The sequence below is a fragment of the Homo sapiens genome, chromosome 10 (genome assembly GCF_000001405.40).
Source record: "Homo sapiens chromosome 10, GRCh38.p14 Primary Assembly".
Classification (NCBI taxonomy): domain Eukaryota; kingdom Metazoa; phylum Chordata; class Mammalia; order Primates; family Hominidae; genus Homo; species Homo sapiens.
In genome coordinates, this window is record NC_000010.11 from 49,036,454 (window position 1) to 49,060,435 (window position 23,982).

Sequence of the window (23,982 nt, forward strand, 5' to 3'; positions counted from 1 at the left end):
ATGCAGGTTAATATATCCTTTTCATGTAAAATTTAACTGAAACCAGTTCTAGCACATTAACGACAACAAGAGAAATTCTCTGGCTTATTATAAACATCCTTCAAGAAACCTGAAATGCATGTCCTCTGGAAATAATTTTGCTGGGATTTGGGTTATTATTAAAATCCTCTCAGAATTCTATCACTGCTTTCTAATGTGCTTCAAAGTCCTTTTCTGCTACTGATAAGAGACAGATTCTTTTTTGGCCCTGGCAGTACATTCTCAATGGTGAAAACTAGGGCCGGGGGAAGAAACTTCTTCCCAACACCCAGCAGATGTGGAACAAGGCAGGGCATCTCAGCCCTGGGCTGGCCACACTATGGTTTTCAACAGCGCTATGGAGGAGGCAGGTTCCTACGGCAGGGTCCCTCTGAACAAGGATGAATGAACTACTTCCTTTCTGTCCATTTTGAGCATTCTAATCTTTGGGTTTCTGTGAGAAGAGGGAGGCTTACTGTGGACTGTAAGCTTGAGGGAATCACAGGCAAGTAAGTCTTGGTCACCTGGCCAAGTGCTACACTAGGAGATCATGGGGCAAGGCTACATATACCTGGTTGACATACGGATGAGCTGTTCTGGAAAGGTTTGCAGGAATTAGGGAGAGTCACAAGGACTTTTAGAATTCTCATATTTAGTTTTCTCCTTGTTGACAGATAAAACAACTCCCTTTCTCCCCAGGGGGCTGACCTGTCTTACTAAAGTGAAAGCAGAGTCCTCTCTGGAGGTGGGTGGCAGCGGCTCTGGATCCTGATAGCGTCGACCCCACCAGAGGTGCCTACTTAGTCTGAAAAGTTAGTCAGAGCCACACTTCTCAAACTTTACTGTTTATCATATTCATCTGGGACCTCGTTAATTGCAGGTTCCACTTCAGTAGGTCTGAGTCAGGGCCGGAGATTCTACTTTTCCAACAAGCTCCCAGGCAGTGCCTGGCCTTCTGGCCCACAATTGGAGCAGGGAGGACTCAGACTAAGTTCCAACCACAGATCCTCCCACGCAAACATTATTCATCATTCACTCCATATACATTGGCCAAAGGGGCGCTCTAGTGACTCCAGGTTCCCTGCTGAGGATATCATTAGGGGTAAGACCAGTTCTCCCTGACTTTAAAACCAGTTCCCATGTAAATTTAAAGCTTCTGGGAATCAAGGGACACAATTAACAGAATGAAAAAGTCACTACAGGACAGGTGAAAATTTTGGCAAATTATGTAACTGATGTGGAATTAAAATTCACAATATATAAAGAACTCCTACAATTCAGCAACAACAAAAAATCAAACAATCTCTTTTTTTAAAAATGGTCAATGGACTTGAATAGCCATTTCTCCAAAGATAGACAAATGGCTGACAAGAACATAAAAAGATGCTCAACATCACTCATTAGGGAAATGCAAATCAAAACCACAATGAGATACCACCTCACACCCATTAGGATAGCTACTATCAAAGAAAAAAAAAAGGAAACCAACAAGTGTTGGTGAGGATATGAAGAAATTGAAACCCTGTGTGCTCTTTGTAGGAATGTAAAATGGTGCAGCTGATTTGGAAAACAGTGTAGCAGTTTCTCAAAAAACTAAAAATGCCATTACCATCTGATCCAGCAATCCCCCTTCTGGGTATATAACCAAAATAATTAAAAGCAAGAACTCAAACAGATATTTGTACACCATGGTCACGTCAGCATTAGTCACAACAGCCAAAAGATGGAAGCAACTCCGTTGTCCAGCAAGGGATAAATGGATACAAAAAATGTGGTATATACTTACAATAGAATATTATTAGGCCTTAAGAAGAATGAAAATTCTCACACACACAGCAACGTGGATGAATAAGGACATTATGCTAAGCAAAATAAGCCAGTCACAAAAGGACAAATACTGCATGATTCCACTTCTATGAGGTTGCTAAAGCAGTCAAATTCATTGAGACAGAAAGTAGAATGGTGGAAGCTAGGGGCTGGCTGGGTGGGAGTGGGGGGTGTTTCTTGAGTACAGAGTTTCAGTTTTGCAAGATGAAAAGAGCATTGGAGATTGACCACACCACAGTGGGAGTGTTTCACATGACTGAATTGTACACTTAAAAATGATGAAGATAGTACGTTTGCTGTTATGTGTATTTTACCACGATTTAGCTTCTGGATGGGAATGCCATGGGCTAAGGCGGGATATCCCATGCACACTGAGGTGTGGGGCAGGCCATGAGCTCCGTGTGTGCTTATGTCATGGCGGATTTGAGGTGCCTGTGGGCCCTCCAGGGGAGTGTCTGGTCAACAGTCAGAAGGGTTGTTCTGAAATTGGCTTGAGGACCCCCGTTAGGGGACCAATGGGCTGCACAGATGGCTGCTGTGCCTGTGAATGTCAAGGAGAAGACAGCCCAAGAGAAGCCAACATTCTAGGACAGTGGAGGAGGGGGAGGCAGCCTGACCACCTGTGGAGGAGCAACAGCCAGGGGTAAAAGCAGTCAACCAGAGGGCCCAGGCCTCTCAGGACCACCTGCAAGTACAAAGGTGGGCGGACCATGAGGGGGCATCCAGGACAGAGGAACCGAAAAGTGCCCCAAGAGCTGTCTACAAGCAGGTCACTGACGTGAACAGGCACAACTTACTCAGATGCCTAGGCCAACCTAGATTCCAGAGAAGTGGGGGGCAGAGGGGAGGAGGCCTCAAAAAGAAGGTGGTGAGTGAGCCACATCTTAGAGCTGAGCAGCAGCTCTGCGGGAGGATGAGGCAGGCGTAGGTGAGGACAGAGGACCTAGACCAATTGGGGTCTCAGCAGGATGAGGGTCCTGGGTGGGGTGGGCCTGAGGGAGCGCAGGCAGATTATGACAAGAGCCAGCCGCTACTCACAGGAAGCCGCCTCATCCTGGAGGCGAGAGGGAGCCATTTACGCAGGGAAATGACACAGATGAAGCTGTGTTTTAGAAAAATCCCCCGGTAGCCACGCAGAGGATGGATTGGAGTGAGAAGACAGGATGCAAGCGCTTCCCTGGGAAACGTGCAGTGATTAAGCCTGTGGTGCTCCTGGTTTTCTATGTCTTTCGTCTGGGGCTGGCTCACAGAGATCATTTTCTCCCTAGAGAACAGGGGTGGCCTGACCCCCTCAGCTACCCTAGGGCTTCATTATGGAGAAGGAGGACTTGCAGATGAGGTGTGGGTGACCCATTGTGGAGGAGGGCATGGTTGATGACGAGGCATGGAAGAGCCTATCCAAGTTCATTCAACTCCAAGGTTGACACTTGCCACCTTCCAGTTAATGTTGAGATGCTGACTGCCCTCCTTCCCCATTCAGGTAACAGTCCTGTGTCCTGCGGCTGTTTTTCCTTTAACTCTGAGGTTTTCCTTCCGCATCATAGAAAAGTTCCGCTACTTGGCCTCTGAATCAATAACTGACAGAAAGCAATAAAAATAAATCAAATGTACTTCTGGCTTTCTCAGTGTCTTCTGAAACAAGGAAGTAATGACAGCTTTTCCTGGAAGTGTGTGAATCAGCTCCAAGGCTTCCGAAGCTTTGCTGCAGGGCATTTAGCTCCTACGGCCCCAGGAGGCTTCAAGGGATGCTTGGGCCAATGCCTCACCCCAAGGGGATGAGGGAGCACTGATATATGGGAATTGTAAATGTTTATTAGACAAACTGGTCACAGTGTCAGACAGAAAGCGCCTGTGTGATCCATGTGGCCTCATTATCTGATTAGCAGAACTTTGAAAGCAGGTTGTTGTGTTTGGTTGTTTTGTTTTAAAAAAAGGAAAAGCAGTTTTGATACCTTGATTTTAAAATGTCTAAAATGCTTTTCTCACTTTCTTCTTTTTTTTTGAGACACAGTCTCACTCTGTCACCTAGGCTGTAGTGCAGTGGTGTGATCTCGGCTCATTGCAACCTCCATTTCCCGGGTTCAAGCGATTCTCCTGCCTCAGCCTCCTAAGTAGCTGGGATTACAGGCATGTGCCACCATGCCCGGCTAATTTTTTTTGTAATTTTTGAGGAGACGAGGTTTCACGATATTGGCCGGGCGAGTCTCAAACTCCTGACTTCAGGTGATCAGCCTGCCTCGGCCTCCCAAATTGCTGGGATTACAGGCATGAGCCACCATGCCTGGCCTCACCCTTTTCTTCTTTTGTCCTACTATTTTTTAAAAACTTCTGACTACTGTTAATGTCTAGTGTACACACTTCTTGCAAAATGCAATGTTGTCTTGGAAACCTAAGAAAAGATTCCCACTTGTTAACGGCTTGGGGATTGCAGACATAAAGATACGTGCTTTTCACCCAGAGCCTATAAATCACCTAATGCGGCAGCTGGCACACAATAGGCGCCCAATAAATGGAGGCTTTCCCTGTGAGCCTTCCCACTTCTTGTCAATAAGTCAGTGGAGGTTGTCAGATTGGTTTCTAGACAGAGGGGCTGGGGAGCTCTGTGGCCTAGGATCACAGCAGGAAGCACTGTGTTACAGAGATTGGGGCAACATGGAACCATTACAAAATTAGACACCTAAATTGGTACCAGGTCCCCCAAAATAAGATGTCTCCAAATTATTTTCTAAATTATCCACTAACTTTGTGTGAGTCAACAGGTGGCTATTGACTTTTGTTTGAGCTACCATCAAGACCTATTGATCTAAGAGATAAATATCGACCAAACTGAGACTGAGGTCAATGCTGGCCTCCCGGGAAAATAAATCTTGATATTCACCAAAAACTGCAGATGCTAGGCCTGATATTTTTGTCTCTAAACTAATGGTCTGATAGAGGCCCTACTGAGGTCAGCTCTTGTCTTTATTGTGAATTGTTATAGGTGTAAACTAGCTTCCAAATTGACCTTGCTTCTGGAAAATTTGGTATAAAAGCTTCCAATTTCTTTGTATTTTAAATGATCAAGGGAAAACCTGTTATTTAAAGAACTATTATTGAGAATACTTCCATAAAATAAAGAATCCTTCTGAAATGCATATAGCTGCCCCAATCAATTATCTGTGAAAATTGAGAATTTCCTATGATGAGTCCCCACCCAGAGAAGCACATCAGCTCAGACACACAAACAAGTCAACAACAAAAAACTTGTAGTCAGGACCACAGCTATATTTGAAAACTCTATTGAATCTGATATTTTTTTAGTTGCAAAAAAATGCTTAAGATAGCATTTTGCACCCAAGAGGTGCACAAAAGATTTTCATGTTTAATGGATAAATGAGAGGTGGGTCCACCCAGGCTATGCACTAGGGGAAGTTGTTTCCTGAAGACTGATGACATTACACCTGAGGGATATGGATCATGTTTCTTAAATAGTGTTGTTTGTTCTCACATGCAAAGCTTGTAGGGGGCAATGAGAAAATCTTATTGTGAGAATTAAATACGATGACATGCCAAAAGCACTTTTTTGATCTATCCCTGGGACATATCAATAAAACTTCAATATATAGTTGTTTCTGTTATTAGAAGGGGTAAGAGACTGGATTAGAAACAATATGTCCTGAGTAACTTAGAGAGAACATAAGGTGGGGAAATTAAGTGTAGTCACTCTGTAGTCACTCTTAAGGTAGTTGTTAAATATCAGAATTAGAAAGAAAAGATCTAAAAGAGCCACATAAACACGCACACCCAGATGTGCAGTGCTGCACACAGTCTAGAGGACAGTGAACTCAGCCTGTCTATCTGCAGGAGACTGAATGTAACAGGTGAGAAATGGGATGCTCCAAGGCCAAGGGAAATTGATTGTTTTAGCCTTTATGCTCCACAGTTTCCAAAAGCCCACTGACTGCCAATGGCCTATTAAAATAAGCCAAAAGGCCTGCTGCTGCCTTTAAGAACCATATGGTATAGTCAACAGAGTAGAATTGATGAGGATTTTTTGATAACATGAACCAAATGGAACCCACTATATGAAAAGCCTGCTAGAACCCACAGTTCACTGCAGGCAAAAGAAGACTCTTTAAAAAACAGGTGAAGCACAGAGCAGCAAGGACAGGAGCAAGGCTGAGCCACACAGGCATTCAGGATCACATATAGAGAGCAGCTAGGCCCAGACTCCGCACTGAGGCAAAGCTTCCAATGTGCTGGTGAAAACCTTAGATTTTGGATTAAGCCCTGACTGCAACCCACAAGCTGTGTGACCTTGGGTACATCACCCATCTCTCACTTTACTGACTCTCAGAGGCTCATGTACCCAATTATGGATGTAGAATTACAGAACCTACTCAACAGGGAGGGTGTGCAGAATCATAAACAAATATCCATTGCGCTAAACACATTTCTAAACATGAAGAATACAGCAGGAATCACAGCAGACAAGCTCCCTGCCTTTATGGATCTTGTAGCCTGGTAGAAGAGATGGATGATTAATAGATATAAACACAAAATATGTCAGGGTGGGTGGTGTTTTATATAGGCTATCAGGACAGCTCCTTTATTACATGATGTTTGATCAGAGACCACAGGGGGTGAGTAATAAGCCATGGACAGATTCTGGGGAGGACATTCCAGGAAGAGGGGAGAGTGGGTACATGGGCCCTGACACAGGAACATGCTTGGTATATTTAAGGATTAGCAAGGAGGCCAGTGTGGCTGAAGGGAAATGAGAGAGAGGGATGGTCATAAAAATCATGTCAAAGAAGCAATGGGGGCTAGATCATTCTGGGATGCACTGTCCAATGTGGTAGCCACTAGTCAAATGTGTTTACTAAGCACTGGAACTGTGGCTGTGAATTAAGATGTGCAGTAAGCATCAAATAGACACTGGATTCTGAAGACTTACCACAATAAAAATAATAGAAAATATTTAATTAATAATTGCTATATTGATTACATGATTAAATGATAATATTTTTGATAGTTAAGTTAAATAAACTATACATTAAAATCGGTTTCATCTGTTACTTTTCAAACCTTAAATGTGGCTACTAGAAAGTTTAAATTACCTATGTGGCTCAAATAATATGGGGAATTATAGGTGACAGTCATGAGGTTGGCATTTATGTTCAGCAATACAGGAAGTTCAGAGAAATGCATTATGAAGTGCTTATCCTATTTCTCTGCACCTAGTGGAAAAAGTTTATGAATCTAGAATTCCATTCACAGACAAATTGCTCAAATGGAAAGGCAAGTAAAGGTAATGAAGGGAAAGACACTGGACTCAAAAAAAAGGAATAAATAACAAAACAAAAATTAAGTTCAAATAATTGTTTAGAATATGGTGATGAAATTAGCAAATAATGATTGTTGAAATAGAAGGCATAAGGTAAAATAAAAAAGAGTCTGACAAACAGATAAAATTGGATCCATTTCTAAACTCCAAATGGATCAGAGAAATACAGGCAAAAAAGAAACTGCACAAGTACTTCATTTTAACTATCCTGGTGGAGGTGAACTGGCTTTATGCTTTTAAATTGCACTGCCATGATGCCTATTAGGTTAAGGACTTTTTATGAGTTTACTGGCTATTTGTATATCTTCTTTTGTCAAGTGCACATTTAAACCTTCTGTCCATTTTTTGGTAGTGCTGTCTTTTTACTTCTTATTGATTGGCAGGTGTTCATATGTTCTAGATAAGAAACCTTTGTCAGGTCAGCCAGGTGCAGTGGCTCATGCCTGTAATCCCAACACTTTTGGACGCCGAGGTGGAAGGAACACTTGAGGCCATGAGCTCGAAACCAACCTGGACAGCATGGTGAAACCCCAACTCTACTAAAAATACAAAAACTAACCTAGCATAGTGGCATGCACCTGTAATACCCGCTACTTGAGAGGCTGAGGCACAAGAATAACTTGAACCAGGGAGGTGGAGGCTGCAGTGAGCCGAGGTAGTACCACTGCATTCCAGCTTGGGTGACAGAACAAGACTCTGCCTCAGAAAAGAAAGAAGAAAGAAAAGAAAAGAAAATTAATGACAAGAAAAGAAGGAAGGAAGGAGAGAGAGAGAAAGAAAAAGAAAGAGAGAAAGAAAGAAAAAGAAAAGAAGGAAGGAAGGAGAGAAAGAAAGAAAGAAAAAGAAAGAAAGAAGAGAAAAAATTAAAGAAAAGAAGGAAGGAAGGAGAAAAAGAAAGAAAGAAAAAGAAAGAAAGAAAGGAAGAAAGGAAGGAAGGAAGGAAAAATTAAAGAAAAGAAAAAGGAGGGAGAGAGGGAGGGAAACCTTTGGCAGATATATGCATAGAGATATGTCCTGCCAGTCTGCAGCTTGCCTTTTCATTATTTTAACTGTATCTTTAAACAGAATAGAAGTTCTAAATGTTAATACAACCCAGATTTCTTTATCCATTCCTTCATGTTGGTGCTTTATGTGTCTCGTTTAAAAACATCTTTGTCTACTCTGAAATTAGGAAGAAATGCTACCTTCGGGAAGCTTTACTTTGTACCATTCATACTTATGTCTATGATCCATCTCCTGTTAACTTTTGTGTGTGGTGTAGAGAAGGGGCTATAGATCTTTTTTTCATATGGATATCCAAAAAACCCGTCACCAAACATTGAAAAGATAATCTCTTTTTCACTGCACTGCAATGTCACTGTTGTCATAAATCAAATGACAATCCTATGCAGTTATGTTTGGGGCTCTTTATTCTGTTCCTTTGTCTACTTGTCTGCCCTTGTATTAATACCCCATTGTATTACTTACACTTGCTTTAATGTAGATGTCGAGAATTGGCATATAAATCCTCCACCTTGCACTCCGCCCTCAAGATTGTCTTGGCATACACACCTTAGAATAGCTTTGACAGTCTTTCTTTCTCTCTCTCTCTCTCTCTCTCATGCACACACACACAACTAACTGCTGAATAATATTAACAACAAAATAAATAATTATGTAGTTAAAAACTAAAAAATAAATATCCACGGATCCATACTGATATCAAGGAATTAGTGAACAATAAACAAATGAAAAAAGGGGGCCATTTTCCTTATAGAAGAATTCCAAATAATACATCTAGAAAGATTAAGGGAAATAGAAAATCACCCTTAGTGCACCATAGTAAAATCTGCTGCAAGCAAAATCTACTGATGAATGCAAGATTAGTGGGCAAAAGTTCAAGGAAAAACAAGATATTTGCAAGCCTTAACATATCTCCCCTAAGATTTTTATTAATTACTGTGGTGGGTTTAACATATCCACAAATTCATGACATGCCTCCCTTCTGGAGGTGGAGCTCAACTCTCCTCACCTTGAATGTGAATTGGACTCAGGGACTGGCCTCTAACAAATAGAGTCTGGAAAGGAGAAAATAGTAACTTCAAAGTAAAGAAACCTGGCAGACACCACCTTAACCACGTGATTGAGATGAGCATCACCATTAACAAGATATATTGTCGTCATGTGCCCCGATACCATGCAATGAGAAGGGAGTTCCACCTCTGTGCTCTTTGTCCCCCAAATCCGTAACCCCATGATATGGTTTGGCTCTGTGTCTCCACCCAAATGTTATCTCAAATTGTAAACCCCAGGTGTCAAGGGAGGGAAGTGATTGGGTTAGGGGGTGGTTTCCTCCCCGCTGTTCTCATGACAAGCGAGTGAGTTCTCATGAAATCTGATGGTTTTATAAATGGTAGTTTTTCCTGTGCTCACACACACCCTCTCTCGCCTGCCTCCATGTAAGATGTGCCTGCTTCCCCTTCCACCATGACTGTAAGTTTCCTGAGGACTCCCAAACCATGAGGAACTGTGAGTCAATTAAAGCTCTTTATAAACCTGTTTACAAATTACCCAGTCTTGGGTAGTATCTTTATAGCAGTGTGAGAACTGACTAATACACCCCATTTCTAATGCTCAGAAAACCTCAGAGAGTACCAAATTGAGGGACATTCTAAAAAATCACTGGCCACTACTCTTCAAAAGTGTCAAGGCCAAGAAAGAAAAAGAAAGCCTGCAAATCTGTCTTGGATTGTTGGAAAGCAAGGAGATGTAACAACTAAATGCAATGTGAGATCCTGGATTTGGATCCTGCACCAGAAAAGGAACATTAGCAGGTAGACCAAAATCTGGTTAAGCCCGAAGTGTAGTTAATAGCAATGAACCGATGTTAATTTCTTAGTTTGACACATGTACCATGACTATGTAAGAAACCAACACTAAGAGAAGGTGGATGAAGGTACATGGGACCACTCTGTGCCAGCTTTACAACTTTTCTGTAAATCTAAAATTGTTCAAAATCAAAAGCTATGACATATTTTCTGGAAAACATGTGCAGCAGTATCTTTGGAGTAATTATCAGGTAAAGGTATGCAAGCAGGTCCACTTTCTATTTTATAAATTTCTGAGTATGGCTTTTCTCCCGTTTGAAACAGAGCATCTATAATATAAACTATTTGGATTTTTAAAGAGTTACTCTGGGAACTAAGTATGGAGAAAGGCTGACTCAAAAGCTGGCATCTGAGAATAGAGAATGTTTTTGTTTGGGGACAAAAGTTTCTAAAACTTTCTGTATGTTTTGAGTTAATAAAGGCACTGTTTTGGAATCTGAGTTGTGTCTGAGGCTTAAGGTATGATAGGAATACAGAAGACGGTTACTTACCAGCGTGACTTTTCTCTGTGGTTTCAGCAGCTTCGGTTTATGGAACGTGGGGGCTATCGGAGCTGTGGAAGTAGGTCAAGGGTTTAGCTTGCAGTTCCTCCCAGAACACTTAGTGGCCACACATTATGAGCATCAGGGACATATTCTGAGAGGTCTCATACCCCTTCCTGGTCCCATGGAAGAACTTTCTGATCTAGGTGTCAGCAAGTGCCCCTCGGCGGGCGTGATCCTCCCCTAGTCTTTGAACGTTTTGTCGTCTCCCTCAGCAAGGTCAACAAAACAACTCTGCATAAAACTCTGCCAGCTACATGGATGTCAGGTGTGCAGGTGTGAACCAGATGCACCCAGTGAAGGCTGAAGCTGGGACCTTCCCTGGGAGACTCCGTCCTACCCACACACTAGCGCTGATCACAATGACTCTTGAACCTCACAGCAGCCCTGTGAGGTCATCAGGGAGGGTCTTATTGTCCCCACTTAACAGAAAAAGAAAGTGAGGCCCTTCCCACGGTGTCATGTCACTAATCTTGAACCATTTAGGATTTGAACTTGGCATTGAAAGTCAGGCTCTACCACGTACCTAAGTCTCACTTTCAACTTTAGTAAGGGTGGGTAATATCTACTGTGGAATGAACGACATCGAGCAGTATGATGCCTGGCCCAGGCAGGCGTTCTCTACTCCCTTCCCTCCCAGGTCCATGCTTTTCATCCCCCTGCAGTACAACCACACCCTCCAGCCCTCTTTCCACTCCATGTGTGCTCAGCCTCACCAACAGGCTTCCCCACAGGGCTTGATGTGTCCCTAGGGGAAGCATGCAAAGCCCGCAGTTGAGGAATAGAATTGTTCATTTGGGCAACCCTTGTATTCCCCCAACTACATTTCAAATTTGCTAAGGTATGAATATCTCCTAAATTGACCAGTTATTTTAGGAACTATCTATAGTCAGTCTTGGTTCTCCTAATACTCTCGCAGTTCTTTCCTCCAGAAACACCTATCTTCCTCACTTACATTGCTCTAAATCATAACTGGAATCACAGGATAGCCGTCATTTTATACCCAGAGCAACTGTGAAATAAATTTCACACCTGGTTGACATCTTTAAAAATTCAGAGAGCTTTTCTTCCCTTGAATGAACCAAGAAGACTTCCTCATCCCAACCCACCACCCCACCTCATGTGTGGCATGTTTTAATAGTACAAAGTGAAACATAATCTGGAATCATCTGTGGATGTTGATCTTCCCCCTGCTAAAGCTATGCTAGGCCCTTGCTTCCTCCTCCAACTCCACCCCCAACCCAAGTACTGGGCTAACGGCTGAGGTGGTTGAGCACCAGTTATGCCCAGAATCTAGGTGGGGGTCCAGACTACATAATCATTAAATGTCATGTCATATTCCCCATCTGCCTACGCTCCCTGTCATAATCCAACATGGAACCCCAGACCCACAGGGATCAATAATGATAGTTTCCAGGTAAGAAACTGCAGGCCAGCTCCTTACCTTTGGCAGGGACTGCGGGAGGAATGTCAGGCTTCTCCTTCTGCCTCTTGCCCTTCTTGGGCTGTAGTGGGGCCAAGCTGGTCACGCTAGTGACAGTCTCCCCTGAGCTGTAGAAGAAAAAGTTTCCAGTGAAACCAAAGGCAGATTTGTTGCAAAAGAGAAAGGAAAAAAAAAAACCCACAATAGCTTCCAATAGTTTCTGAGTGCTCCCTGTGTACCTGTGTAAGGGAAGGTTATCATATGGGTAGACTGGAAACACTCTGTGCTCATCTCCAGGGAGGTCTGGAAGTCTGGTACTGATCTTTGGCCAAGATAAGAAGGATGAGTTGAGCCAGTTGGTGATTTATAATGAATGTGCTGTTTACAGTCCCAAATTCCTTGGAGGGACCCAGCGTTAGCTTGTGTACATTGCCTAGGGATGCATGGGTTGATGGTTGACACCTGGTTTAACTGATTACACATTTTGGCTTGGCTACATCACCAGTGGGGTATTATTTATGCCACTAGAAGTTTCTGCTTCAGCTCCCTAAAACCAAGGTTCCTTGCACACACCTCTGTGGTTCATAATCCAAAGGCAAACATCTCCCCATCACCTGGGAAAGGGTTCTGGGGAGCTGCACCTGGATGTGTCTGGGGTCCCCTGTGACTGCCGGAGCTTTCTTCTCTTGCTGCACCTTTACCTTTAGGACAGGTGAAGGGAGCTCACCTTGAGGAGCGCTGGGAGTGTTTCCAACTACCTTGACCCTGTGTAATTACTGCAGTATCAGCTTCTTAATATGTGTTAGCCATAAGCCAAAGGGACGGGAAGATAAGCCTTTTACATTACAGGTAAGAAGGCCAAGGCTTAAATAGGCTACATGATTGCTCTAAGTGACATTGTTGGTAAGCAGCAAATAGGAAAGCTGCAAACATACACTGCTCCGATATGAAACTTGTTCTCGGTGCTACTCATGGGCTGGAGTTCGCAAACTTTCTTGAATGACCATTCATCTTCTTGCAAATGCTTCCTATTCGCTCCAGTAATCCAGAGGGAAGTACCTTTTATAATCTCTTGTCCGCAGGCACATGTCCCAGCTAGGTAAGTCCAGGTCTCAAGAGAGGCTATCTCGCTAATACATACAGAATTTCTAGAAATCCATAAAAATATGACCCAATCATCAAAATAAAAGAAGGTTGGAAACAGGCAGTTTTTACACATAAGGAAAGACTCATTTACACATGAAAACATGCTAAAGCTCCCTCAGGACAGAGGAATTCCAGTTAAAGTATACTGACTTCTTTTTTTTTTTTTCCAAATCAAAATGGCTGCAGTCAAATGTGAGGCAAAGCACTATTGGTAGGGGTGCAGGGAATCTGGCACTCAAAAGTATTGCTGGCAGCAGCGTGATCTTTCCTGATGGAGAATGATTTCGTAACATCTATCAAAATTACAGGCGCTTAGACTCTTTGACCTGGCAATTTCATTTCCAGGAATTCGTTCTATGGATATCCTTGCACATGTAGGAAATGTTGTGTGCATAAGATCAGTTATTACAGCACTGTTTATAATAGCTATGGATTAGAGACAGCTCATCTTCCATCAGCAGGGACTAGTTGAGTAGATTATGGTGAATCCGTGCATAGGGTCATCTGTATAAAGACGAAGAAGCTACGTGTGTCCTGATAAGGAAAGATGCATTGCTAAGTGGAAAAGCTAGGTGTTGGACAATGTATAAAATGTGCCACTTTTACATAAAAATAAGGGGAAATAAGAATATATATTAGCATTTGCTTACACATACATAAAGAAGCTCCAGAAATATTCACAAGAATTTAAAAATAGTGGTTCCCTAGAATGGGGGTGCTAAGGAACTAAACAGATGTGAGACAGGACAGGGAGAATCATTACTGGATATGTTTATAATTAAATGCAAATAAATATACACATGGGTAATAAGAGATAGGCTATTCTAATAATAGTCCTAGATATATAAAAATAAGTAAAAACTGAATCACACGTTGTGGGATAAATTCCAAGAATACAGTTCCCACTGAGATTCCCCAAAGATGCCTTATTTTTATTGGGAACGGAGATTCTAACTGGTCATAGCTTTAGAGTACAGGGTCAATTGTGTAAATTCACAAATAGCCAAAAAGAATGTGAATTTACAAAACTTTGACCAACAATAGCAAACAAGGGATCCTAAATTCTCAGAATTGTTTACATATACAACCACATGTTCAGCTTCATTCTGTAGTTTTATAAACTCTTGAAATGCCTATTTCTTATTTCCAATATAAAATAATGCATGCTCGTGTTTAAAAAGGGTAATTACAGGCATGGAAACCAAAGAAAATAACACTGTCATAACCAAAACACAATCTTCATAAATATTTTCACTCTTTTTCCTCTTCCTTGCTTTTGCTTTTAAACAGACTTTATTTTTTAGAGAAGTTTTACATTCACAGAAACATTGAGTGGAAGATAGATTTCCCTTATAGCCCCCACCTCCACACATGCACAGCCTCCCCCATGATCAACATCCTGCACTAGAGTAGGGCATTTGCTACAACTGAGGAACCGACATTAGACATCAGTATCCCTCAAAGTCCACAGGTCACCTTAGGGTTCACTCTTGATGTACAGTATATTCTATGGGTTTGGACAAATTTATACTGGCATGAACCCAGCATCATAGCATCATACAGAGTAGTTTCACTCCCAAGTATCCTCTGTGCTCTGCCTATTCATCCCTCCCTCTACCCTAACCCTTGGCAACCAGCGATCTTTTAACGTCTCCACAGTTTTGTCTTTTCCAGGATGTCACAGAGTTGGAATGATACAATATATAGCCTTTTCAGATTGGCCTCTTTCACTTAGCAATATGCAATTACCCTTCCTCCGTGACTTCTCATGGCTTGACAGCTCATTTCTTTTTTTTTTTTTTTTTTCTTTTTTGAGACAGTCTCTCTTTGTTGCCCAGGCTGGAGTGCAATGGCACGATGTCAGCTCACTGCAACCTCCGCCTCCCGGGTTCAAGCGATTCTCCTGCCTCAGCCTCCCGAGTACCGGGGATTACAGGTGCCTGCCACCATGCCCAGCTAATTTTTGTATTTTTAGTAGAGAGGGGGTTTCACCATGTTGGTCAGGCTAGTCTTGAACTCCTGACCTCAGGTGATCCACCCGCCTTGGCCTCCCAAAGTGCTGGGATTACAGGCATGAGCCACTGCTCCCAGCCTGATAGCTCATTTCTTTTGGGCACTGAGTAATATTCTGTCATCTGGATGTACCACAGTTTATGCATTCACCTGCTGAAAGGCATCTCAGCTGCTTCTAATTTTTAGCAATTATGAAAAAAGCTGCTATAAACATCCATGTGCAGTTTTTTTGTGTGTAGATACAAATTTTCAACCCTTCCTTGTTCATATATAGTGTTTTTTAAATCATATTATATTATAATTTTGTATTCTTAATTTACTTAATCTAAATTTTTCATATTTATATTCTCATACTATTCCAGTGAGGAAATAAGCCGATGTTTACTTAGCCATTTCCCTAACATCTAAAGATCTCATTTCTTTCTCAGTTTAATATAGAAATGACACTGCTAAAAATGTATTTGTGCATAATGGTTTTTTATTCTTAGACTTTCATTTTGGGGTTGAATTTCTAAAGCTGGAATTACCAGGTCATGGAAAAGGACCATTTTCAAGGCTATTTAATACTTACTGTCAAAATGATTTTTGACAAGTTAGTACTACACCACAGCTATGCCACTCAACAAATGAGAATACCTACGTCACCCTCCTTAACACCACTTGTCAATTTTTTTAAAATGACTCATTTAATGAAGAAAAAGCTGATTCCTTTTTGATTTGCATTTCTCTGATTTCTAGTGATAATGGACACTTCCCATGTTTGTCTAAGGAGTTTTCTCATTTATGATGGAAGGATAGCTCCTTCTCTTGATTTAGGATTTTTTTTTTTTTTGGATCTTGATTTAGGATTTTCTTGATTTCTGCTCTTGATTTAGGATCTTGAGCTTTTCTTACAGGTTTGCAAGCAACTTTTACACCATTTGGACATATTTATTGAAAAATATTTTTCCCAATTCCCTTTGAATTCTGGCTTTTTGTTCCATGCAGTTTTTTAATTTGTTTTTGCTAAAATCTTTTGACATTTTCCTTTCTTCTTTTGCCTCAAAACTTGGGTAGTCTCCCCAACTGCACCTTGCACGGTGTAGAATCAAATAATATTTCCACTTCCTATTCTCTTTTTGGATTTTTTTTAACTGTTTAATATAAAATGGAAGTTTCTGGAACATCATTTTTGTGCACTTATAACATTATGTTCAGGGATTTCCTTAAGGTGGAGAACACCTGCTTTGTCATCATAATTTTCCTTCAAAACAGTAAAACTGCACTAAATTTAATTTTAATTCATATTTCGACAATTTGATCTCATTTAGACAATGAATCACCACATTGACATAGGATAGACACTCTCTCAGAATCTTGTTTCTCCCCTTGAGCCAGCAGGACTGGTCGGAATATTTGGCAAGGAAAGTCCACCTTATGATTAACTTACAAGAAAAGTTATTCGACATCTCAGGTTGGAACAGGGCTATATTTTGTCTCTGACACAACAGAGCAAGCCTTGTTGGAGTGAGTCAAACCAAGAAAGACAGAAAACAGGCCCGCCCGGAAACTCCCTCTAAATTAGAGAGCTGTTTGATTAGAGAGAAGTGCTATTTGTGGGAGCTCATTGTGGAGCAAGGCTATTTTTCTGCCTCCAACAAGGGCAGGCAGGATGTCGCACGTGCAGAGGCCTTGCTGTAAGATGTACCAGGTTCCGGCCTGGCCACCTGCCAGAAGGAGCTTCTGTCCCACAAAGGCTTGGCAGTTTTGCTCCATGACACACAGCGGCTGGATTGAGTGAACAGGTGCTGAACAGGGGTCAAAAGGCCACTAAAGCTGATTCTACTTTGACCAGAGAGGTGACCCTGGGCAAGTCACTTACTTCCCCGGGCTTCCACCCACCAATCTGTAAAAGGGGAGGTGTATGTTGGCTATCTCTCTTGCAAAGTTATGAGGGTCAGATGAGAGAGCATAGCCTAAATTAGATGGGGTGTGAAACAGCTAAATAGCAACTGACCCTAGTCTCCAGGGTACAGGTGCAGTGTAGACGTTTCATGGTACTACCCAGGGAGGATGATGTTGCCACTTGGGTATTTCATGGTGCCCTTGTTTCAGCCCAGTGAGTAGGGCTGCAAGTTTCAACTTAGACATTGATCAGAAAGTCTTCCTGCCCAGGATATTACAGCATGACATCCCCTTGACAGCTGCCCTCCCACTAATAGAGCAGTGCTGGAAAGCACCGCTGCAGGACAGACCAGGCAGGTCATGAGAGAGGCTGCATTCCTGAGCGATGGGCAGCCACTCCAGAACACCAGGCAAAGCAGCCAACCTAGATTTTGCAAGGTATTGAACAAATTCTGAGCAACCATATTTTTCAGAAACTAAAGTTAACAACAGTAACAGCTATGTTTGTGTCCATCCTATGCAAGGCACTGTGGAAAGAGCTTGGTATCCGTGACCTCTGGCCCTCCTTGTTGCAAAAATGGGGCCTCAGAGAGATCAGGTCCTTCTCAAAAGTCACCAGCTGAGAAGGGGACATGGGACTTGATCCATGTTGGCCTGCTTCCTCTGGCCCTGAAGCAAGGACCCAGGACCCAGCCCAGATAACAGATAACAAGAACACTGGAACAGGAACAAGGTCAATAGAGCCAGAGCCACAGTGGCTACTCCCAGTTTAAACCATCTCCCTGAAGAGAAGTACCAGAAGGAGACATTAACATTCTACTGCATTTCAAGTCTGATTTAGATTCAGCGTGGGGAACCCACAGCACTGTTGCAGCTGCTCAAACTCCTGCCCCAAAGGGAGGAGGAGAGGCCAACCCAGGTAGTGGGGTCTTGGGGACTGAGGGTGTGGCTGGTGCCTAAGACCCAGGGCCATCCTGAGAAGGAAGCGCAGAGGAGGAAGGGGGCATGTGCCTGGAAATCGTCTGGAACAAGTGATGTCAGCTGCCAAAATGAAGGTGGGCATGGTGGGCTAGCCAGCTGGGAATTTTGTGCCTCTAGCACTAAGAGTATTTGGGAGCAGAAGGCGGGGAGCAGTTTATGCAGGAGGAACAGCATAAACTGAGCTGATTCCACCAAAAAACATAATTATAACTAAGAAGCATGCACCCAGCCACACTCTGCTTTCAAAACTAAATGTGAGGTCAAAGCAACTTGTGCTGAACCACAGTGCATGTGGCATCAGGAGTCCTCACCCCTGCCTTTAATGTCCCTGGGCCATCAAATGGTCCTTCTAATATAGTCTCTCTCTGGGATGTGCAGGAGGTGCAGCGAACTGTGTGAGCCAAGGGACTTTCACAAATCCAGCCATCTCAAAGATGCTGGGTGCTTCCTCTGGCCCAGGGCGATCTTTGCACCCGGACATACGAATTACAAATCAAAACACTTCTTTGAGGTCTGTTCAATCTTATTCCTTCTTGAATGAGTAGATGCCCCTCCTCCTGGGCACAAAGCTGTCTGTCACACTCCAAAGGGATGTATTGTGGTCTGAACTGGGACACCTAGGGATGTCAAATGCTTTCGTCAAGCCAAAGATCCCCATTCAGAAACCCTTAGTGCATGGAGCTAATGGAGCTGTGTTGGCTCCAGTCCTCCCAACATCCTTCCAGGCCCCCTGAGCTCTTCTTGCTCCACACATCTTTGAAAGGTGTCGCTTCAGCTGATTATTTTACTTCCAGAAACGTCCATGTATTTCCTGTCTTCCTGCCTATCTTGGTTCTGACAAGAAAGATGTCTGACACAGATGGAGGGAGGGATCCATCCGTTTCTTTCCAAGCAGCTCTATGGCCTCCTTCCAAGATTTCACACAGCACACTCGCCACCCCATAACCCCATGCCCAGAACATTATGTGCAGAATCTTGAAGGAGGGGCATTGGTCTCCACAACTATGGTGGCAATTCGTTGCCATCTTTTAAAGTAAAATGAATAATAGTAACAACTGTAGATACCCCTTCTCCCCAAGGTCAGCTGCCATTGATAAAGGCCAAGAACTCATGCAAACAGGGGGAGTTTCCTAATGTCTTGCCTTAGGCTTTTTGAACTTGCTCCAGCAGCTTTCCCTGCCACTGAAACACACAAAGTCAATTGGTTCCATATGCCAGGAGCTGCTTAAAAGTTGCAGAACTTCACTTTCAAGATGGATGAATGGTGCCACCCACTCACAGGGACCCTTTGAAATGATTCTTTTCCATTAAGTGGGTGACATGAGCCAACCACATAGAATTGTGTCTAGTGCACAGTAAGTGCCTACAGGGAGTCACCTATCATGACCTTACTGGCAGTATTATCCATAATTATTACCACAGAAAATGCTCTCCGAGTCCTTGAATCGGAAGCAGGACAAGGCAGTATTCTCTACAACCCAAGTGAGTGCCTATGCACCCAGAAAGGATGCCAGACCCTTGCGGGTTGCAAAGCTGTGCTCTCTGCTGCATCTGCTCCATGACATTTCTGCATGCATCCTCTGCACAGCATTAGAATAAATGCTACTCCTTTGTGAGGTATTTGCCAAGCCATCTCCCTGTCCACAGTGCCCCCATGACCTTTACAATAAATGGTTTACATCACCCAAGAAGCTCATCCTTAGAGCCACAAGAAGCTCCTGCAGCCGCGAGGGAAGCTCTTCCTTTGTATTTCCCTGCTGGCTTCATGAAGTCCACAGCAGAGACTTTGCCAGGCTGGCGTTTTTGTTTGTGCTAACATTTTTTTACACTAGCTGGTGAGATCAGGAGATACTTTAGTGGTGCTCCACAGGGTCGCAGGCTTGGCTCCTAGTAATAATGGCAGGGAGAGGTGACTCCTCAGCATCTGCTCAGCCAGGGGTAAGGCTGTATTTGGGTGGGAGACCCCACTCCCTGTTCAGCTTCAGTCCATGCTGGAGGCTGCTCCACTAACTGCCGGGTTGTGCCTGCTGGTTAGGAAGAGAGATGACTCATTCACAAAGGCCATGGATGGATGCATGTGGGCTGACCCCTGCTGGCACCTGTCCCTGCCCAGGGGAGCCTGCCTGGCCTGGGTTCTCATCACCACCTAGACACAGCACTTCCCAGAGAAGGGCAGGGGCTGGAAGCCACCACCCTGATGACCCTGTGTCCCTCTGGCTAGAGCTGCCCTGAGACCTGCCCACTGTAGCATCCCTAGTTAAGTGAGCTGCAAGATTCCTCCCTGGACAAGACATTCTGAGCCGTCTTTTCTGTCACCTGGTATATTAGTTCATTTGTGTTGCTATAAAGGAATATCTGAGACTGGGTAATTTATCAAGAAAAGAGGTTTATATTGGCTCATGGTTCTGCAAGCTGTACAGGAAGCACGGTGCTGGCATCTGCTTCTGGGCCTCTGGTGAGGGCCTCAGAAGCTTCCAGTCATGGCGGAAGGTAAAGGAGGGGCCCGCATATCATCCGGCGAGAGGGGGGCAAGAGAAAGACGGAGGAGGGGCCAGGCTCTTTTAAACAACTAGATCTCGTGTGAATTCATCAGGTGAGAGAACTCATTCATTACAAGGACAGACCAAGCCATTCATGAGGGATCTGCCCCCATGACCCAAACACGTCCCACCAAGACTACCTCCAACACTGGAAACTACATTTCCACATCAGATTTGAAGGGAACAAACATCCAAGCCATAACCTGGATTCAGAAGGTTTGTAAATGACAGAGGGCTAGTCATTGGTCTAATCATTGGCAGTTTCATCCATGCTCTTAGTCTGAGGAAACCAACTGTGCCTTGCAGAGTTTTTCTGAGAATAAGACATAAATCCAGTAAAGAGCTGGGCTGCACCAGTCTACGACCACTGTTCTCTCATTGAATTCCTATGGAAACCCTTAGCGACAGGGACAACAGGCAAGTCTGTGCCTGCTGTGGAGGATGAAACATTCCCAGAAAGGCTGAGTAAGTGGCCCAAGTTCACAAAGCTGCCAAGTGGCACAACTCTACCTGACACTGAAGCTGTCGGAATCCAGGTGCATATTCTTTATGCCAGGAACCACCCCCATCTCACAGGCCTGCCCTCCCCACTCCCACCCCTGCCTGGAGGGCTGTGGAAGAAGGACACTGGGCCTGAGTGCTTGGATGCGGTGGGGACATGACAAGGTAGTAATGACCGTGGGAGCATGGGAGGGAGGTGGCCAGGGAGACCCCGTCCCTGCGTCTACTGCCCCCATCCTCACCACCTTGCTTGCTCAGGTGGATGTGGGCAGAGGGAGGGCACAAGCATGCATGTGAGTTAAAATCCAAGCAAACAACAGTGAGAAATGGCTGGGGCACAGCATAAGTCTGTTTAGAGTTCTGGTGTTCTTTGAGACTGAGGGTTCACTCAGGAGGAGAATGACCTGACTCTGACATGTGTCCCAGAAAAGCCCCTGAAAGAACTGATTAATCTGACCCTACAACTGATCACAGTAAAGCCTGTTCATTTTGGTGAGGTTTGCTTTTGCAAATAGATGCCTCTAATGAGAGGCCATTGGACCTCTCGAAGTCAGGGGGCTGCAATGTCTCTGCAGCCATCCTCAGCTTCCATATCTATACCCTGCCGCTTCTCCTTCCATTGCCTTGACTTTCTGTACCATTCATTGCTGCATTATAACTTCCCTCATTGGCAAGTACTTTATTATCTCAATCCCGTAAGTAGAGATGAAGCAAAAGGCCAGGAGACATCCTGGCTGGGCATTAGCTTTGTGGTGCCCCTTCAGTCCTCCTCACAACTTTCCTTGCCCTGCAGGAAAGAAGGCATCTGGATCCATTGGAGAGTCATTGCAGAATGGACTGCATCACAGCTCTGTGCAACTGGGGGGATTTCGTTTTCACTCCGGGTTTCCAGGAATTTTGGAGCAATTTTATATCCTCCAGCTGAGCTGCTCTCAGGGCTGTCCTCCCTGGGAAGGGCACATTGAACCTCACAGATCCCTGAGACGCTTACTCAGGCCCTGCTCTCTGCTCTGCATCCTCAGAGCATTCTGCCCTGGGAAAGGAACAGTCTCCCACTCCTGAAGGTCAGGGCCACCCCTCCAAGAGACAGCAATTTACAACCTCAGGGACAATAAACATTCAAGATGAGATTTATTTTCCTTCCGTTTGAACTTTTCTTAGCAAGTCATGGAATTCCCTTGAGTCTCCAGGTTCTGGCCCAGTTACTTGGCAAGGCCCCTCATTCAGTGACCGCAGCCTCAGAGCCAGCACATGGTCTCTTCCGGAGGCCCTTCCCCTCCCCTGCCTGAGGGTTTCCAACCCAGGCATCTTCTCCTGACCCTGTGCTTTTTGTCTGTTCCCCCTTAGGAAGAAATGGTCAGAAGCCAGAGAAGGGCATTCTTCTTGATCACAGCTTAAGACCCAGGGCCCCATTTGCCCATGGCAGCAGCACAGAGCAGGCAGACAGATGAGGGTGCTGGGACCTGGGAGCTACTGGCACAACAGGGACGGGAGGAACTGCCTGGGCTACAGAGGCAGAGCACAATTCAGGCCAAAGCCAGGCATAAAGGCAAGAATTGACCAATTCACTAGCACTGGCGGCCAGTCTGGGCTGCACTAAGTCAAACAGGCTTGAGGTTCTAATCGGGAAAATGAATGCAAAGTTGGCCAGGAGCTGACTACCAGGTTTATGGGTCAAGGCCTGGCCCTAGCAGGGTCCTGGGATGGAGGTAGAGTAAATGCAGGCTTTCTAGAGGCAAATCTGTGGGTTGACCCAACAGGAGACTGCTCATAGGGAGAACTGCCACTCAGACACCCAACCAACCTGACAGTGCCCAGCATGGCTGGCAGAGAAGGAGGCAGCCTTTCAACAAGATTCTGCGGTCATCTTGACCTCATTTATCCCAGGGCTGAGGGGAGATCAAACTCTAATGTCCACCAGGCTGGAATGACATCCTTGCTGTACTTCCAGCCTCAGTCAGCCCCAGTTCAGAATGAGGAAACTGTAAGGGAAAAAAGAGGGGCCCCAGTAGCCAGAGGCTGCTTGCTAGACACAAAAGGCCAGACAAAAACATCACAGAAAGCAAATCCTGAGCATGTTGGCGGGCTGATCATCCACAGCTCTGACAATCTCCAGCCATTACCCAAGTCTGAAATGCCAGAATCACCCTAGTCTTGGGGGCCTTATTGGGACATATGCTTGAAAAAAGAAACAAATGGTTTTATTGAAGCATAGTTGACGTACCATAAAATGTACTGATCACAGGTGTATAATTCAATAGCTTTTAGATTCATGCATCACTACAATACAGTTTTAAAACATTTCTATCACCCCCAAAGGTTCCATCTTGTATTTTTATAGTTAATCCCCACTCCCACCCTCAGCTGTAGGAAACCACTAATCCCCTTTCTGTCTCCATAAATGTACCTTTTCTAGGCATTTTATCCAAATGGAATCATATGATATGTAATTTTTTGTATCTGGCTTTTTCCACTTACTATTGTTGGGGCTCATCCATGCTTTGGTCCATACCCAGTGTGTTCCTTTTTATTACTAAGTGGTACCTCACTGGGTGGATATATTCATTTTGTTTTCCAATTCACAAGTTGATGGATACATCTAGATTGTCTCTGGTTTCTGGTTATCATGAACACAGCAGCTATGAACAACTGCATATATGTTTTCATGAGATATATGCTTTCAGTTCTCTTGGATAGATTCCTATGAGCGGAATTGCTGGGTCATAGGGTAACTTAAAGGTTTTAAGAAACCATCAAGTTGTTTTCCCAAGTGGTGGCACAATTTTATATTCCCACCAGCAATGTACAAAGATCCAATTTCTCCACATCTTTGCCAGAAATTGCTATTGTCTGTCTTTTGAGTTATAGCCATTGTAATGGGGGTATAGTGATATCACCTGTGGTTTTAATTTGC

General features: G+C 43.9%; 1 protein-coding gene across 4 annotated transcripts in view, besides 3 other annotated features; it reads right to left on the reverse strand.

Annotated features, from left to right (window-relative positions):
- VSTM4 (V-set and transmembrane domain containing 4) overlaps window positions 1-23,982 on the reverse strand; it is a 101,287-nt gene that overhangs the window by 22,218 nt on the left and 55,087 nt on the right. For all 4 annotated transcript variants that reach the window (XR_001747052.3, NM_001031746.5, XM_047424711.1 and 1 more), the window contains exons 6-7: window positions 12,025-12,131; window positions 10,530-10,591 (exon numbers count right to left, since the gene is read on the reverse strand). Coding sequence is in view for 3 of the 4 variants with exons in the window: in NM_001031746.5 (NP_001026916.2) it covers window positions 10,530-10,591; window positions 12,025-12,131 (169 nt within the window). In the remaining variant the exon portion in view is untranslated. The remainder of the gene's footprint in view (window positions 1-10,529; window positions 10,592-12,024; window positions 12,132-23,982) is intronic.
- Window positions 16,965-17,064: an enhancer, noted in NCBI's record as "active region_3344". NCBI's record gives its function as "activates an Ori minimal core promoter by ATAC-STARR-seq in GM12878 lymphoblastoid cells {active_cell/tissue: GM12878}" and the evidence as "EXISTENCE:reporter gene assay evidence [ECO:0000049][PMID:35858748]".
- Window positions 17,075-17,184: an enhancer, noted in NCBI's record as "active region_3345". NCBI's record gives its function as "activates an Ori minimal core promoter by ATAC-STARR-seq in GM12878 lymphoblastoid cells {active_cell/tissue: GM12878}" and the evidence as "EXISTENCE:reporter gene assay evidence [ECO:0000049][PMID:35858748]".
- Window positions 20,464-20,650: a silencer, noted in NCBI's record as "fragment chr10:50264962-50265148 (GRCh37/hg19 assembly coordinates)". NCBI's record gives its function as "represses an EF-1alpha promoter that drives an FKBP-Casp9 reporter gene in an ReSE screen in K562 erythroleukemia cells {active_cell/tissue: K562}" and the evidence as "EXISTENCE:reporter gene assay evidence [ECO:0000049][PMID:32094911]".